A 14845-nucleotide genomic window follows, 5' to 3' on the forward strand; every position below is an offset into this window, starting at 1 on the left:
GACTTCTTAATCTTAATGGAGCCTTTCAGACTGAGAATCAGTCTTAAGTGAGGTAAAATAGGTTCATTTGCAAACTAACTTAAATATTTAAAACCTGATTTTGTAAGTCTTAGATATAATTCTCTATCATCCAATAACATTGTATACCATAAAGTAAGTTGCAGATAAGAGTTGTCTTTTTTTCTGTGTATGTACCCAGTTTTTCCTCCCTTTATCTCATTTTGATTTTAGGAAGAAATGTATTTACAGAAACATACCATCTTACTTGTGAAACACTATAATATCTTAATTTGATAAATATTTTATAGAGATTAATTCTGGGAATGTGATGACCTTCTGAATGGATCATTCTGTACATTTTACTCCCAATTCTAGTCTATCTTTCTCTCTAGAGCCAAGTAACTGCTGGGGTGAGGCTTTAGGTAATCCATATGGGAGAGGGGCCTTAGGTTCTTTTCACTCCAGTGACATAGCACTTGTAGGATTTTTTTTATCTTAAAGACTGTTGGAGAACCAGAAACCAGCATAAAAAAGCCCTGGAGGCAAAGGTTGAAATGGGGATACTCCTGGGGAGAGGGCTGCCCTTAGAAATCTGAGAATTTCCTGTCAATCAACATTTGCCTGGTCTCACAGGCCTCCATGGGCTGGAAATAAAGTGAAAATGGTGAGTGGGATCCTTTTATCCATGGTGCTAGAAAAATGCAAGGAATATTTCAGAGAGGGGAGGTGTCTGTTCCAGTGCTTCACTGGGGTGTTAGTAGCCTGCTTTGCTGCTTTACTACAAGCTTATATTTGTCATACTGGTGAGGCTTTTATTTTTCCTGCCAGAATGCTGTATGGCATTCTCAAAATCTCAGTTGCTTTCAAAATAAACGTGTATTTTTCTCATTCATGGATCTAAGGATTAGCTGGGAAGCTCAGGCTATGGGACTAGCTTGAGGTCTGTTCCATGTTTCTTCATTTTGAGACCAGGACCACTGTGGGGCAGGTTGTTCTCACGACAGCAGAAATGCAACAGGATGAGCAGAAACATGCATATTATGTCTCTTAAAGTCTTAGCTAAGAACTAGCACATTTTTTTTTTAGAATAACAAAAAATATTTTACTAAAACGTAAGATTTACAGAAGTTTCCAGATAAGCCATACGAAATGGTCACAAGATTTTTTGAAGAGGGGAATCTACACTTGACAGCAAAGTCACAATGTTGTTAGTGAGGGCTGTGATATTTGTTTAATGTTCCCATTTTAGTTCAAACAGTCAAGCTTGTCCATCTACATTGTCTAAATAAAGTTAGATTTGGTTAGAGAGCGTATTCTAAAGAACTGCTTAGCTGCTTTTAACCAATGCAGTTAGATCACCAAAAAACGGGAGAAAGGAGCCCATAAAATTAAAATAAAACCAGCTCCCTTCTCAAAAAAAAAAAAATAAAATAAAGAAAAACACCCACACCCCTGGAGCTAACCTGACAACTATCTTCATTCACAGAGGACACTTATTTCTAAGCACATTCTTTTGGCCAAAGCAGGTAACATGGCCAAACCTAACACCTTTGAGACTGGGAAGTGTACTCTTCATAATGAAGGCTCTGCACATGATAGAGGACATTGCATGTATAATTCTGTAAGGAGAGAATGAAAAGTTGAGGACAATATCCACCACTGTCTCACAGAGACAGAGAATGTTACACCTTTTTGTGGTTCTGCTGTCGCTTAGTATGCTCTGGCAAACAGCTGAGTTCTAGTGCTGAAAAAGAAAAAAATCACAGGCAACACTGAGGAAGAACAAGGAAAATGACAGAACCCTGAGGATTAGAGTAGTCAAAGGAGATAATCACTTAGATTGAATTGCAGCACAATTCTTTCTGGAGTTAAAAGACAAGACTTCCCAACAGAACAGTTTATTCAGTAAATGACAGAAAGCATCACTGCTATTGAATCTGAATTAGTGACTTGAAAGATCAAGTAGAAAAATATTGTAGAACACAGAGGAAAAACATAAACCATTGGAAAGTTATAGGGGAAGAATAATGAGACTTGATGATCTGGGAAATTTAATGGTAATTTTTAGGGCTGGTAGTGAGGAGTGAGGGATTTACTTCCTCGGAATAAATCACATGCTAGGTAATGCATTTTACTTTGACAGAATTGTAACAACTTCTCTTGGAAACTTTATGCCCTTTCTGAGTGGAAGTAGAAAGAAAGGATCTTAGAGCCTGCCTTATCTTTAGCAGACAACAGAAAGTTACCCAAATATTAGATAAAAGTAGAATCACAGGGAAATTTAGTCTTTGAGGTCTTGATTGGGGACTTGTGAAAAGTAGGAGGGAACTCTTGGGAACATCCCACATAAACAGTACTTTAGATTTTTCTAGAAGAAGGCAAACAACTATTGGCTATTTTGAGTAAAGGAACATTAAAGAAAGCATGTAAGAACATGGATCTAAAATATGTAGCCTCCTGAGGCACCAAAGATAAAATAGTATCTAGGTTTGGTACTATAGGAAAGTGGGAAATTTTTCTTTTTATGGCTCTTAAGTCCCGAACAATTATACACACCCATTACAGTTTTTTGGCTGGGAGGATGAGAATGTTACAGGGACTGATAGAGATTTAGGGAGTCTAATAATGTGCTTTCCACTACAGGTTTTAGTCCTTTATAGCTTCTGGTTGTTGATGATATTATGCAGGTTTGATAAAGATTTAGATGGGGGCCAGGCATGGTGGCTCATGCCTGTAATCCCAGCGCTTTGGGAGGCCAAGGTGGGCAGAACACAAGGTCAGGAGATTGAGACCATCCTGGCTAACATGGTGAAACCCTGTCTCTACTAAAAACACAAAAAATTAGCCGGGCGTGGAGGCACGTGCCTGTAGTCTCAGTTACTTGGGAGACTGAGGCAGGAGAATCGCTTAAACCCGGGAGGCAGAGATTGCAATGAGCCGAGATCACGCTACTGCACTCCAGCCTGGGCGACAGAGCGAGACTCCATCTCAAAAAAAAAAAAAAAAAGGTTTAGATTGGTCACTATGAACTATAATGAATTGCCACTAATTCTCCCAGTATCAGTGGAGTTTTGGCCCACAGAAGAGTGGCACCTCACTGAAATCTTTAATTTGGATACAAGTTTGCTGTGACCTCATTATGAATGACAATTGTCAGATTATCATTTCATGGAAGAAGCCATGAGGAGAGTATTTTTCTGGTGAATGCATTTGTGCAGTTAATCTTTCCCTATTAAATGTGGCATATGTAGTAGCAAAAATAAGGAGAGAATGTTGGTCAAATGTTTTCTGGACTTTCGTGAGTTAGGATTTGGAGACTGTTATTGGAGGAAAGTTTTTGGAGATTGTATTAATCCATTCTCACGCTGCTATAAAGAACTGCCTGAGACTGGGTAATTTATACAGGAAAGAGGTTTAGTTGACTTACAGTTCTGCATGGTTGGGGAGGCCTCAGGAAACTTGCAGTCATGCTGGAAGGGGGAGCAAACATGTCCTTCTTCACATGGCAGCAGGAGAGAGAAGTGCTGAGCAAAGGGGGAAAATCCCCTTATAAAATGATCAGATCTCATGAGAACTCACTATCACCAGAACATCATGGAGGAAACTGCCCCCATGATTCAATTATCTCCACCTGGTCCTGCCCTTTACACATGGGGATTATTGCAATTTAAGGTGAGATTTGGGTAGGGACACAGAGCCAAACCATGTCAGAGAATGTAGGGGCAGAAAAGTATGATACTTTTTCTCAACCATCTTAAGGGTCATGACTGACACACCTATAACAAAAGACAGGTTAACAAAAAAAGTGGAACACATTTATTTAATCAAAATGGTACATGACACGGGATTCTTCAGAAATGAAGACCCAAAGACCTAGGGAAAACCCTGATTTTATGCTTAGGCTTGGTAAAGAATGGACAGCTATATAGAAATGTGATTGGACAAAAGGTTATGATCTAATGGTGATAGATGGAGGGCGGGGAGGGTGACCCAGCAAGGCCTGTCTGTTCAGATTCTCTGTAGTATTCCTGCCTCCCAGGTATGGTGCAGAACCCCTCTGGAATGAGAGTCTTCAAGGAAGAAAGGAAAAGAGAGTGAGTGACCTTTCTAGGTTTTAGGGCTTCCTTTGAGGGAGAGGATTTTTAGTTTCTATGACCTGCCTTGGGGAGAGGAATTCTGGTTTCTGTAACTCACTTTGCAGAAGGAAGAAGGGCAGGAAACAGGAGGATAGGTAGATCTGAAAGACCTTGCCTCTGAGGCATTTCCAGTTTCCCTCAGTTCAAAGTACTCATCTTGCCAAAGTGCCACACTTTGTAGTATCATGTTCTGATCCCCAACAGAGAAGTCCACACCTGAGTGTTTTGGTGACCCTGAGTGTAAGCTAACACTTGCGGGGTCTAAGGTTGATATTTTAGTGCCTGTATCAATAAAACATTTGTAAGGTTGTCCTTTAATATTTAGAGAAATTTATTTTTGAGCTTAAGGGTAAAACAGAAAATTTGGTGCTTGACTTCCCCCTCAGAATACTTTGCTAATCACACTTTTTTCTTCTTTATTTCTTATCTCATGCTAAAGACTTCCTTCAGAAGGCCTATATTTTTCTCTAGCTGGGGTTCTCAACTCATAGTTAGGGCCCAGTCTCACCTGCATCTGCATCTGGTTGTGATCAGCACATTGGGTTTTTGAACTGGGATACCTTGAAGTTCACCAGTTTTTTTCTTTAGTTTGCCACAAGCCACCATCATTCCTTATGGTATTACACACATTCAGAGGGACTTTTCTTTCTTAATCTTATCTGTCCTGTTTTAAATTTAAATTTATCAGTCTCTGGGTCAGGGGCGGTGGCTCACGCATGTAATTCCAGCACTTGGGAGGCCAAGGCATGTGGATCACTTGAGGTCAGGGGTTCAAGACCAGCCTGGCCAACATGGTGAAACCCCTTCTCTACTAAAAACAGAAAAAATTAGCCAGGCGTGGTGATGTGTGCATGTAATCTCAGTTACTCGGGAGGCTGAGGCAGGAGAATAGCTTGAACCTGGGAGGCGGAGGCTGCAGTGAGGCAAGATCATGCCACTGCACTCCAGCCTAGGCAACAGAGCTAGACTTCATCTCAAAAAAAAAAAAAAAATTGTCTCTGGAAACCGAATTTGTCTCTGTCTTGTAATTTTGTTTGCTTTCTCATTTCTTCTCTATTGTTTCAGTTATTTTGTCAGGGAACCTTTAATCTTTTCTAAGAAACCATCAGCAGTGTTATTCCACATTATCTTCTTAACAGCGTTTAAAAATATATAAACACGTGATTGATGGATGCCTTGAGAAGTTAAACATGATACTTCCTGCAGAATCTTGGAGCAGTCATTTCTCTAGAGTTTAAGCCCACCTTGTCTAAGTTTGAACATTAGTCTTTTGTGGTTATGGCAAATGTTTGCTTCTAATGCTTACTTACCATTATGTCCATGTTTGAGTTCAAGTTTCAATAAAGATTCCTCAATTTGGAGTCTATATGTGGAGCCCATAACTTTTAGCAAATACAAAAGCACCACATCAGTTTCTACATTGTAATTGCTCACAATATTTAACCCATCTCCTGGCCTATTCGCCCGATTTGCTTGCTTCTTCCTCTGTGTGGACTACTGTGTGGATATCATTCAAATAACCTATCAAGTGGTTTTTTGGACAATATTTCTTGCTTTGGGAGTGAGTGGAATTTCTCTTTCCTGAATTGAGGAAAAATATGAATTCAGAACAGTTAAATGTAGATTATCCCTTCGTTATATAGAGTTACTTAAACTAAAGAAACATTTTAATACCATGTAGAAATACTTAACTGGGTCTTAACTGAATCTATGAATATAATACAAATATGAATTTATATATGATGTTGCTAAAGGCACTAAGCTAAAAGCAATTTTAAATCTTGAAGCCTGGGCATGGTGATTCATGCCTGTAAGCCCAGCACTTTGGGAAGCTGAGGTGGAAGAATCCCTTGAGGCCAGGATTTTGAGACCAGCCTGGCCAGCATAGCAAGTCCCCATCTCTTAAAAAAAAAAAAAAAAAAAAAAGACTCTCCATGGCGGCTTGTGCCTGTAGTCCTAGCTGCTGTGGAGGTTGAGGTGGAAGGATCACTTGAGCTAAGGGGTTTGGGGTTACAGTGAGCTATGATTGCACCACTATACTCTATCCTGGGTGACAGATTGAGAACCTGTCTCAAACAAAAAGAAAAACCTTCTCGAGATGATTACTTTAAATTTTCTTTTGCTATCTTATTTTCTACTTCTGACATTTTTGGACATAATGGTCACCATGCCTTTATTTGTGAAGTTTTCTATAACTGAACTTAAAAAAAAAAAAAAACTTGGTTTATTCCTGTAAGATGACAACAAATTGAAATAAGTTCAAATGTAAGGCTTCTTTTAAAACATGAACAAAAATTCTTTTTTCACATTATTAAATGTATATTTCTTCTTCCTCAAGGTGACTATAATGAATATAAACAAAATTTCAGTGTCCTTTTAAAAATGTTTTAAATTGTTATACATTTAGAGGAAATACATTAAAATGAATTCAGTATATATGAGAACTGAACATCTATACTTTTAAAACTACAATATCCTTTTTTGGAATGCCAAAGTTTGTTTTTATCTGGTATACTGTAATGAAACACTCGTCATGTTTCAAATTCAGGTTTTTGGTTCAGTGAAACAGTAATTTAAATAAGCGAGGTTTTTTTTTTTAATGGGGATTATGTTGATTTTTATAGCTTTTTATTACAAGGAATTCTGAACATGCAGGACTTGAACTTTCTCATGTAGTAGTTCTCAGACTAGAGAAACCTTTCCTGTTTTGTGGCTTGGGTTAGTGTTTAGCAGTATTTTTAGTAACCGTCCTAAGTCAGTAGCTATGTAAGCACTGAGTGAAGATGGAGTCACAGGGCAAACTGGGCTTGCTTCCCACAGGGAGGGCTGGGTTTTGAGCAGGAAGGAAGGCCTGTTCAGCAGTGCCTTGGGTACAACTATGTCTGAGTAGGCAGCCGGTAACACAATGTCTCCCTTGTGCAAAGTAACTCTCTTAGTGAGTGCTCAGATATGTGAGGAAAAAGTATTTGGGTAAGTGAAGAAGCTTGGGGTGTTTCAAAGAGATTCTTTTCGTGTTTTTGTGGTATTTGGGTTTAAGGGAGTGTACTGTTTGTTGCTGCAAACTACTGGCTTTGTTTTCAGTGGCATTTTAGACTTTTTGAACAAGCTCTTACTGCAGGCAGATTGAAGCGTCTTACTTTCCGAAAATGTGAGCTTAATTTTAAAAGTGTGATTTGTTTGTGATGAAAAGTTAATTTGTGCTTCTTGAGATCAGTGAAAATTAATTGTAGCAGTCCTTTATAGGAATGAGTTCTCTTAAAAATCTGCTGTTTCCTGTCATTTTCATTCTGAAATCAGAGCCAACTTGTGACAGTGATGAAAACCACCTAAAACTGATTATGAGTGTTTAAAATGTATAATGTTGATTTCAAGGTTAATTTGCCTGTTTTAAAACAGTGTGGCAGTTAATTGTTTACATGACTGTAATGTAAAAGTATTATAATTTACTTCATTTTGAATAATATTAAGTTCAGTTTTCACCAGAAGAACTGGTTATGCTTTTAGAAATCTTGATATTGTGATTAACATAAATGGCTGATATTTTTAAACTATTATTTTTATTTGATTTACAGCATTTAATTATCAAGCTATAAGAGTCAACTTTTATGGAGTATGTACATGTTTATAGTCTTTTGCTTTTGAATCTGTCTAGTGGAGTGTGACAATATGAACCGCTTTGACCGACCAGACAGAAATGTTCGGCAGCCTCAGGAAGGTTTTTGGAAAAGGCCACCCCAGAGGTGGAGTGGACAGGAGCATTACCACCTCAGCCACCCTGACCACTATCATCACCATGGAAAAAGTGACTTGAGCAGGTAAGTACTGTTCTGACTTAGATTTCATTTGCTGTCCTCTGATTTTGAATTATAATTCTCCCTTTCCCAGAACCCTCAAAAAACCTGTTTTTGTCTGGTTTGTTTTTAGAGGCACCAAAAAGCACTTCAAGTTTTATGTGGTACTAATTGGAATAATATGTCTAATTTGTTCTTTTTGGCCCAAATATTTTTTCATTAGTTTTATCTTAAATATAAATACTCTATTTATATCTGCTTTTTGGACTTCAAGTTATGGTATGATTTTCTAGCTGTCATTTGGAAATGATTAAATGTTAACTGTGTTAAATTTCTTAGTTTTTCCAAATAATATTTAAAATTAGTGCCAAGTGATTGGTCTTTTGCTCATGTAATAAGTTAAAATTTAAAAATTCCACAAGTACCATTAAAAACAGAAGAAGGTACTGTTTAGTGCTGAAGGTACTATTTAGTCTTTTCTTTTTCAAAGTAGAGGATAGTCTTTAAATTGGTCAGATCTTATTTTGTAATGAGGCTCCGTAGTCATTCAAACCTGGAATCAAAACCTGACCTGGCGCAGATTAGCTTTGCAAGCTTAGATAATTTATTTAAACCGTCTCTGCTTCACTTTACTATCTTTAAAACATAATTAATAATATCTTTATCTCAGTGTTTGAGAATCAGGGATAAAAGTGCCTAGAGTAGTGTCTAGTTTACAGTAGGCACTCTGTGGAAGTTATTAGTTTTTCCTTTTCACTTTCTTATCTCATTCCACAGGGATTTCAGGTCATTTTGGAGTGCATTTACAATACAAATAGTACAATTGGTTTAAAGAAATAATGGAAGAAAAACATGGTGTTGTGTAGTTCCTAAAGTGAGGGAAAAAATTGATTCTAAGATTCTTTGCAGCAAAAGCAAAGAATAAAATTTGATTTATTACAACATATACAGTACGCATAAGATAAAGGATGTGTTTTTTTCCTGAATTAATTTGTCAGAAAAGTTAAGCAACATTTTCAAACAACTGTGTTCCTTGGATGTCAGCAGTTGTAAGAAAAGAGAGGGTCCCTGGTCAAATTAGTATGAGAATGAATAGATCATAAACATTTTTTAAATGGTGGACTCAATTGTGCTTTTGTGTATAAATATAGTACTGTGATTTTGCAAAAGGTGGTAAAAAATATAATATGTAGCCATTTTCCAAAACATATGATCACAAATCCCTTCTACTTAGTGTATTTTAAGGGACTATGGTGTGGATCATCCACATGAGTGATTCTTACTGAGGAGGGAAAAATGCACAGCATTCTTAGGGGTTGCTAATTTGACTGACTTAGCACAGAACTTCCCAACAATTGGGCTGAGGTACACTGGTTTGTTGTGAATGGTTATAGATTGATCCGTTTATTGAAACTCTCAATCTTTGGGGTGTTGGTGCTGGTTTTGAGACACCTACATCCACCTCAGCAAGTTATGGAATGGGTGGTACAAAAAGAAACCTCCTCTAAGACGAGCCTTACCCCAGCATACCTTAAAACTATTAATTTCTCTCTGTGCCTTAATATTAGAAAGGTTTGGGTATACTAGCCCCAGGGCCTTTTCAATATTGCATGTGCAAAAGTCCTGTTTCCATTCTAAAACTTCCTGAGTATTGCTTCGCTTTCTTCTGTCCCTTAACTCCCGTTATTATTGTCATTAGTTATAGGATCATGCCTTATCCGTAACTCAGGGGTGTTGGGAAGACTGGTGGTTGAGAACTAATACATCCACTCATGTTCTCATCGTAATACTGCTCTGTCTTTTTACCTGGCCTAATCTTCCTCTCTTCTTTTCTGCCCAGACCTCCTTTTTTTCTACACCTTTTGATATGCTATCTGGAATTCTCTCATATCCTAGCAAACTCACATTCTTCATCTCTTCACCTACATTCTCCTAATCATAACTGAAACCTAGCTCTTTCCCAAATATACTACTTCCCCAGTAACATTTTTACACCAAAGATTCTTATTTTCCAGTCACCCTAATACTTCACTGTTTAGAGATGGGGTTTTTGTCCTCATTTCTCATTGTCACTTCTAAAGGAAGTGATTGTAAGTCCCATTTTTTGAGACTTAGGGCATTTGGCTGTATCAACTCTTCTTTACTGGTTCCTACCTGGAGCTTACAAAAGGCTTGGCCCTTAGCCCACTTTCCCTCTTTATTATAAGCTTTGCTGCAGTCCTGAGTGGCTGCAGTGTTCATGTACATGAGTCATTTAACCCTCTGTTTGCTTAGTCCTGTAGGACAGTGGTCTCCAACCTTTTTGGCACCAAGGACCAGTCTCCTGGAAGACAAATTTTCCACAGGCCATGGGTGGGAGGTTGGGGGATGGTTTTGGGATTGGGATGAAACTCTTCCACCTCAAATCATCAGGCATTAGTTAGATTCTCATAAGGGGTGTTCAACCTAGATCCCTTGCATGCGCAGCTCACGATAGGGTTCGTGCTCCTATGAGAATCTAATGCTGCCGCTGATACGACAGGAGGTGGAGCTCCTGTCAGATAAGCAGGAATGCTTACATGCATGCCCTCTGCTTACCTCCTGCTGTGTGGCCTGGCTCCTAACAGACCACAGACTGGTACTGGTCCCTGGTTAGGGGCTTGGGCACCCCAGCTGTGGGATTTTCTATATACAAGATATGTTATCTGCAAATAGTTTTTACCTTTTCCTTTCCATTTTGGATAAAAATGTCTTTTTATCTTTTGCATAATTGCTATGGCTACAACCTCTGTTGAGTAGAAGTGGTGAAAGCCAATAGGTGTGTCTTGTTTCTGATATGGGGGGAAAATAAATATTTTAAATATTTTATTGTTAATGTGATGTTAGCTGTGGATTTTAAAAGATACTTTCTATCAGTTTGAAGTTCCCTTCCATTCATGGATAGTTGAGTGTTTTTATCATGAAAGGGTGTTGGATTTTGTCAATTACTTTTTCTGTGTCTATGGAGATAATCTTTTTTTTCCGCTTTCATTCTACTAATGTGGAGTAATACTTTGGTATGTTGCGTGTTGTGTTGGTATGTTGTGTGATTCAGTTTGCTAGTATTTTGTTGAAGATTTTTTTTGTGTGTGTATGTGTATATATATATATATATATATATATATATACACACTTAAGAAATACTGGTCTGTAGTTTTGTTTTGTTTTTCTTCTTGAGATATCCTTGTCTTGTTTTGATATCAGGACCACACAGATTGAATTGGGAAGTATTCCTTTCACTTCTACTTTTGGGAAGAGTTTGTGAAGGATTTTTGTGAATTCTTCTTTGAATGTTTTGTAGTATTGACCAGTGGAGTTATTTGGGCCTGGGCTTTTCTTTGTGGCAGTTTTTTGGATTGCTAATTTAATTTTTATAGATATTCTGTAGATGTCTTTTTGGTCTTGTTGGTTTATAATGTTGCTTAAATCTTCTGCTTCTCATATATCTCTAATTGTTCTGTCCATTATTGAAAGTGAGGTGTTCAAGTCTCCAACTTCACTATATATTGTAGGGAAGGTGTGTTAGCAATAAATTCTCTGTTTTTGTTTATCTGGGAATGTCTTAATTTCTCTTTTATTTTGAAGGATAGTTTTGCCAGATGTAGACTTCTTGGTTGGCAGTGTTCCTTGTAATATTTCAACTCCCATGCTTTCTGATGAGAAATCGGCTGTTAATGTTACTGAGCGTGTCTTCCACATGATGAGTCCCCCCGCCCTGCCACCACCACCCCCCCCAGCTTTTTTTCTGCATTAAGGATTTTCACTTTTTCTTTGGCTTTCAACAGTTAAATTATAATGCGCCTCTCTTTTAGTTTATCATATCTGTAGTTTGTTGAGCCTCCTAGATATACAGATTAATGTTTTTCATCAAATTTGGGACATGTTTGGTCATTAGTTACGTTCTTTCTGCCCCTCCCCACTTCGCTCTGGCCACTTAACTACGGGAATGTATGAGCATCATTCCTTGCTTGTCACAAAAAATTTGAAAAAAAAAAAATACAAATAATGTGAAAACTACTTAAATCAGATTTCTCCCTGGCCAGGATTTGTTGTTGTGTTTTTTTGTGGTTGTTTACTGACTTTTCTAGACAGATTCTGTAAAAAGTCTGTATTTTAAAAAAATATTTGACGTCTTTGCTTGGTTTGATTAGTGGTCAGCTAATGGTTGGATGGAGATTTCATTGAATGCCTTGAACTAGTAAGTCTCCCAGCCTCCACCAGGGGGCTCTGTGTGTTTGCTTAGGCACACCTGCAGTCCCTGTAAGTAGTTTGCAGCTTAGGCACACCTGCAGTCCTGTAAGTAGTTTGCAGCTCTGCCTTGGCCTTCACTTCCTGCTTGTTTAGAGTTTCAAAGTCAGCCAAAGGTGGAAGATTAGGGGATTCTCTGGTATTTCCTTGGCATGTACATACACAGCCTATACATGTATATGTTCTTCTCTATTCCCAAGACTATATTGGAGCATTTCAAAGCCTCTTGTGGACATTTCTTTCCTCAGGTTTTCCTTTTATGATTTTTGGTCAGCTTCTTGTTTGTCCCAATTGATATTGCCATTTCAGGCAGCTGAGATTTTAAGCAGTGCACTAGGGATAAGGGAATTACCGAACAAGCTTTGAATCAGCTCAAACCAACTCCTGAGAATGGGCTTTTTCTAGGGAGCGGCCAGGGAGATCAAATCATAGCAGTTCTTTGGGAGTGGTGCTTTTTGGAGAGTTCTAAACCCATTTTGTCCCCCAATCTCTAGTGACTGCTGGATTTCATAGCTGCCATGCTTGTTGTAATGCTTTTGGTTCTCAAGCTACCACAAAGGTAAGGAGATGGGTGTGGCTATTGGATAAATTAAAATGCCACAGAGCTTGCTGTTTCTTTGAGATTCAGCAGTTTTTATTGATTAAATGCTCCTTAGTTGTTGCAAGCATTTGGCTGATTTCTAGAGTTCTGAAAAAGTTGATTTTGACAAATTTGCCAGTGTTCTTAGTGCTTTAATGGAGGAATGGAGTTTTAGAAATCTCTGTTATTCTGGCAGTGTTTCTCTTCATTTGTCATGCTTTATTTTTCTTTCTTTCCTTTTAACTAATAGATTTTATTTTTTAGAGCAGCTTTGGGTTTACAGAAAAATTGAGCAAAAATAGAGTTCTCATATGCTTTCTCACCTTCCATTAGATACAGTTTCTCCTATGATTAACATCTTGCATGATTGTATTATAATTGATGAGTCAATATTGATATTTTATTATTAACTAAAATTCATAGTTTATATTAGGGTTCACTCTGTTTTGTATATCCTATGGGCCTTGACAAATGTATAATGCCATACCATTACAGTATCATACAGAATAGTTTCACTACCCTTCAAATTCTGTGTGTTCCACTTATTCATCCCTCCCTTCTTTTCCTGAACTCCTGGTAAATACTGATCTTTTTGCTGTTTCTACAGTTTTGCCTTTTCCAGAATGCCAGAGAGCTATAATCAGATAGTAGATAGTCTTTTCAGATTGGCTTCTTTCACTTACCAAAATACATGTAAGGTTCCTCTATATATTTTTGTGGCATCTCATTTAAAAAAAAAAATTAGCCAGGTGCAGTGGCTCATGCCTGCAGTCTCAGCACTTTGAGAGGCCAAGGCAGGAGGATAGCTTGAGTTCAGGAGTTCAGGAACAGCCTGGGCACATATTGAGTCCTCGTTTTGACAAAAAAATCAAAAAAATTAGCTGGGCGTGGTGGCACGTGTCTATAGTCCCATCTACTTGGGAGGCTGAGGTGGGGGGATCACTTGAGCCCAGGAGGTTGAGGCTGCAGTGAGCCGAGATCACCCCACTCTCCAGCCTGGACAACAGAGAGAGACCCTGTCTCAAAAAAAATTACTGAATAATATTTTGTTGTATGGCTGTACTACAGTTTGTTTATTCATTTACTTACTGAAAAACATCTTGGTTGCTTCCAAGTTTTAACAATTATTAATAAAACTGCTGTAAACATTTATATACAGATTTTTGCACGGGCGTACATTTTTCACCTCATTTTGGTAAATATCAAGGAGCACTATTGCTGGGTCATATGGGAAGCATATGTTTAATTTGGTAGGAAACTGCCAAACTGTCTTCCAAAGTTGCTTTACCCTTTTGCGTTTCCACCAGCAATGAATGAGAACTTCTGTTGCTGCTCCATATCCTCATCAGCATTTGGTACTATGCTTTGGACATTAACTATTAGGTATGTAGTGGTATTTCAATGTTGTTTTAATTTGCAGTTCCCTAATGATAAATGATGTTGAACATTTTCTCACATGCTTATTTGCCATCTGTATATCTTCTTTGGTGATGTGTCTGTTCAGATCTTTGCTTATTTTTATTTTATTTTTTATAATTTCAACTTTTACTTTAGATTCAGTGGGTACATACGCAGGTTTGTATCACATATACATGGATATATTATGTGATACTGAGGTTTGGGATACAGATGATCCCATCACCCAGGTAGTGAGCATAGTACCCAACAATTTTTCAGCCCTTGCTCCTCTTTCCCTCCCCTGTCTAGTAGTCCCCAGCGTCTGTGTTACCATTGTTATGTCTGTGAGTACAATGTTTAGCTCCCACTTATAAGTGAGAACATGTGGTATTTGGTTTTCTCTTCCAGCGTTAATTCGCTTAGAATAATGGCCTCTAGCTATTTGCCCATTTTAAAATTGGGTTGTTTATTCTCTTGTTGAGTTTTAAGAGTTCTTTGTATATTTTAGATACCAATCCTTTATCAGATATATGTTTTGCAAATAATTTTTTCCAGTCGGTGGCTTATTCTCTTGATAGTACTTTTTGCAGGACAGATTTTCAAAAATTTTTAACATTTTCAACATCCATTTTTTCTTTCTTGGGTTGCACTTTTCATGTTATATCCAAAAAACT

At 37.9% G+C, this 14845-nt stretch overlaps 1 protein-coding gene across 18 annotated transcripts in view; it reads left to right on the plus strand.

The window, feature by feature from the left end:
- The window catches only part of CCSER2 (coiled-coil serine rich protein 2), a 189929-nt gene that overhangs the window by 89354 nt on the left and 85730 nt on the right, over nt 1–14845 (plus strand). For 16 of the 18 annotated variants that reach the window (NM_001351290.2, XM_005269905.5, NM_001351292.2 and 13 more), the window contains one exon: nt 7789–7951. In NM_001351290.2, the coding sequence (NP_001338219.1) occupies nt 7789–7951 (163 nt within the window). Of the gene's footprint in view, nt 1–6996; nt 7107–7226; nt 7285–7788; nt 7952–14845 lie in introns of those variants that run through there. The other 2 variants (NM_001284243.2, NM_001284242.2) reach the window with 2 other exon arrangements.

The sequence above is a fragment of the Homo sapiens genome, chromosome 10 (genome assembly GCF_000001405.40).
Source record: "Homo sapiens chromosome 10, GRCh38.p14 Primary Assembly".
Lineage (NCBI taxonomy): Eukaryota > Metazoa > Chordata > Mammalia > Primates > Hominidae > Homo > Homo sapiens.